The sequence below is a fragment of the Homo sapiens genome, chromosome 5, assembly GCF_000001405.40.
Source record: "Homo sapiens chromosome 5, GRCh38.p14 Primary Assembly".
Classification (NCBI taxonomy): Eukaryota; Metazoa; Chordata; class Mammalia; order Primates; family Hominidae; genus Homo; species Homo sapiens.
Window position 1 is genome coordinate 66,209,856 of NC_000005.10, and position 3,860 is coordinate 66,213,715.

The following is a 3,860-nucleotide window of genomic DNA, read 5'->3' on the forward strand; positions in this document are numbered from 1 at the left end:
GCCCCATCAGTTGCTTCAACCTGTGTTCCTGTCTCTTCTGTTGATGGCAGACTCTGTGCTCCACACTCTGCTCCTCCCACGCGGCTTCCTTTCCTGACCTTGCCTTCTCAGCTTGGAATGTTCTCTGTGCCCCACTGCCTCCAATCCCATTCATACAAGTGCAAATTCCACCTTTCCTTCAAGGCCCACGAAGAGTTCCCTCAGATATGATCAAATGGTTAGCCGTGGTTTCCTTCCCTGCACACTGCAGCTTTAGCCTAAAACATTCAGACATAGCAAGTGCTTCATGGTGCACAGAGAGCTGTGGTCTCTCAGGAATGAACACACTGTGCTCAGACTGCACTGCCAACAGTGCCCCAAGACAAGACAGGATCCACGCCATTTATCATAGAAATTGATTTTTCTCCAACATGTATTACTAAGGCAGATACATCTTACTTTGAACTTGGAATGTGCTGCAGCACAAAAATCACAATAAGTATTCAGCAGCGAGGTCAGTCGAAGGTACTGATGCCCAGAAACATAAATTGTTTCATTCTGATCTCAGTGAGACTCAAGAGTGGCTCTGCAGTTTTTGCACAGAAGTCCTTCCAACATTTGAGCCTTTTCTTGCATGTTATTTGGCGTCTAAGAGGAGGCTTAAGAGCCATAGTTCACAAAAATTTTACTAGCCTGTATTTTTTTTTTTTTTTTTTTTGAGACAGAGTCTTGCTCTGTCACCCCGGCTGGAGTACAATGGTGTGATCTCGGCTCACTGCAGCCTCCACCTCCCAGGTTCAAGTGATTTTCCTGCCTCAGCCTCCTGAGGAGCTGGGATTACAGGCATGTGCCACCATGCCTGGCTAATTTTTTTGTACTTATATTAGAGACAGGTTTTTGCCATGTTGGCCAGGCTGGTCTCAAACTTCTGGCCTCAAGTGATCTGCCAGTCTCAGCCTCCCAAAGTGCTGGGATTACAGGCATGAGCCACTGTGCCCGGCCAAGCCTGTACTTCTTTTGAGCTTATGGATTGAACTCAATTTTGAGATAATCCAACCCAACCCAATATTGTCCCTTGTAGAATTCAAGGATTAAAGTGGGAGCACATTGCTAAGGTTATTCCAGCTTGGATTCTGTGAACCAAGAAGATGCTTCAGGGTACGTAGAAGTTTGCAGAACTTAGTAAGTCTAATTATTGTCAATAAGACCAACATAAAAACCACTGTCACGCACTGAGTCTGTTTCCTCTTTTGTCAAGGAAGGAATAATATTGTCTACCTTGCAGGGTTTTTGTAAGAAATTAGAAATAATACTTGTAAAGCATAGTATCTGGTAGAAAAAAGATAGTATATGATTGCTGCTATTATTATTAATATTACCAGTTACTGTTTATTTTAAGAACCTTCAGAGAGTTATAAACCAAATACTAAGGGGGTGCCATGGAAGAAGGAGAGAAAGGCTTCATGAAGGATTTGTGGATTTGGAAGAAAGGAAGGATGGATAAAGTTGGGCTTCTAGGGCTGGGTGCGGTGGCTAATCCCAGCACTTTGGGAGGCTGAGGTGGGCAGATCACGAGGTCAAGAGATTGACACCATCCTGGCCAACAAGGTGAAACCCCGTCTATACTAAAAATACAAAAATTAGCTGGGCGTGGTGGTGCGTGCCTATAGTCCCAGCTACTCAGGAGGCTGAGGGAGGAGAATCATTTGAACCTGGGAGGTGGAGGTTGCAGTGAGCCGAGATCTTGCCATTGCACTCCAGCTTAGCGACAGAGCGAGACTCCATTTCAAAAAGAAACAAAAAAAGTTGGAATTCTGTAGGTGAAGGTGAGAATAGGCCTTTTGGTCACAGGACTGGCTCTCGTCTGGAGAACATTCTCCCTGCTCCCAATTCTTATCTACAGCATGAATATCTTTCCCATTCACAAAGTTATATTCTAACTTCGCCAACACGCAGGCCCCTTCACCCTCCTCTGTTCATGTGATGGTTATATATTATGTCTGCATACAACAAAAACCCCGGCAAACAATGTTAGCATTTTTATCTTCAATTGTCGTGCATGTTTTGAAGAACCCAAGAGGAGACTAATAGTCTTTCATATTTGCCAGATATTTGCCATTTCTGTTTCTCTTCCTTTGCTCCTGACAATCCAGATTTCCTTCTGGTATCATTTCCCTCTGGTCTGAAGAACTTCCTTGAGTCATTTTTTAAGAGCGAATCTGTTAGCAATGAATTCTCCTAGTTTTCCTCCATCTAAGAATGTCTTTCTTTACCTTTGGTCCTGAGGGATATTATCCAGGATATAGAATTCTAATAGTTCTTTTCTTTCAGCACTTAACAAATGTCCCTCTTCTTCCTTCTGGCCTCCAGATTTCTGAGGAGAAATCTGCATTTATTCAAATTGTTCCCTATAAGTAGTGTATCATTTTTCTCTCAGAGCTTTCAAGATGTTTTCTTTGTCTTTAGTTTTCAATAGTTTGATTATGATCTGTCTGGGTGAGATTTCTCTGGTTTTTTCCTGATAGGGTTGCTGAACTTTTTGTATCAGTAGGTTTCTGTCTTTCACCAAATTCAGGACATTTTCAGCAATTATTTCTTCAAATATTTGTTTTACACCACACTCTTCCCTCTCCTTATAAAAGTCTGATGACATGAATGTTAGACCTTTTGATATTGTTCCACAGGTCTGTGAATCAACCCAGGGACTAATTATTTTTGACCTTTTTTCTCTTTTTTGCTCAAATTGTATAATTTCTATTGATGTAGCTTTACATTCACTGACTCTCCTCTATCATCTCCACTCTGCTTTTAAACCCGTTTAGTGAAGGGGCTTAAATTTAAAATTTCAGTTACTGTACTTTTTGTTTGAAATTTTCCATTGGCTCTTCTTTCTATCTTCTGTTCCTTTGCTGACACTTCCTGTCTTTCTGTTCATTTCAAGAATGTTCACCCTTACTTGGTGGAGGACTTTGATAATAGCTGCTTTATAGTCTCTATCAGATAATTCCAACCTCTGTGTTATCTCTGTGTTAGCATCTGTTGCTTGTCATTTTTAATGGAAATTGAGATATTCCTGGTTCTTCATATTCCAAGTATTTTTGAATTTAATATTGAACTTTCGTCTTTTTTGAGCAGAGTCTTGCTCTGTTGTCCAGGCTAGAGTGTAGTGGCGTGATCATAGTTCACTGCAGACTCAAACTCCTGGGCTCAAGCTGCCCTCCTGCCTCAGCCTGCCAAGTAGCTAAGACCAGAGGTGTGAGCTACTACACCTGGCTAATTACAATTTCTTTTTTTTGTTGAGACAGAGTCTCCCTGTCTCCCTGTGATGCCCAGGCTGGTCTCAAACTTTAGGTCCCAAGCAATCCTCCTACCTTGGCCTCTCAAAGTGTTGAGAATTAGAGGCATGAGCCACTGTGCCTGGCCTAATATTGAACATTTTGACTATTGTGAAAAGTTAAGTATTGTTAAAACTCTGAGGCGTATACGGATATATTTTCTTCGGGATTTGCATATCCCTGCACTGATGCCAAATTAGGTATCATCAACTAAGATGTATATTAAAAGTCAATTGAAATAGTTCACCAAGTAAGGGTGAACATCCTTGAAATGAATGGAAAGATAGGAAATGTCAGCAAAGGAACAGAAGATAGAAGAGCCAATGGAAAATTTCAAACAAAAAATGCAGTAACTGTAATTTTAAATTTAAGCCCCTTCATTAAAGAGGCTTAAAAGCAGAGTGGAGATGACAGGGGAGAGTCAGTGAATGTAAAGCTAGATCAATAGAAATTATACAATTTGAGCAACAAAGAGAAAAAGGATCAAGAAGAAAGTTCTTCACCAGTCTTTTGTGGATTGTGGTTTTGGTGGCAGGTGCTTTTCCA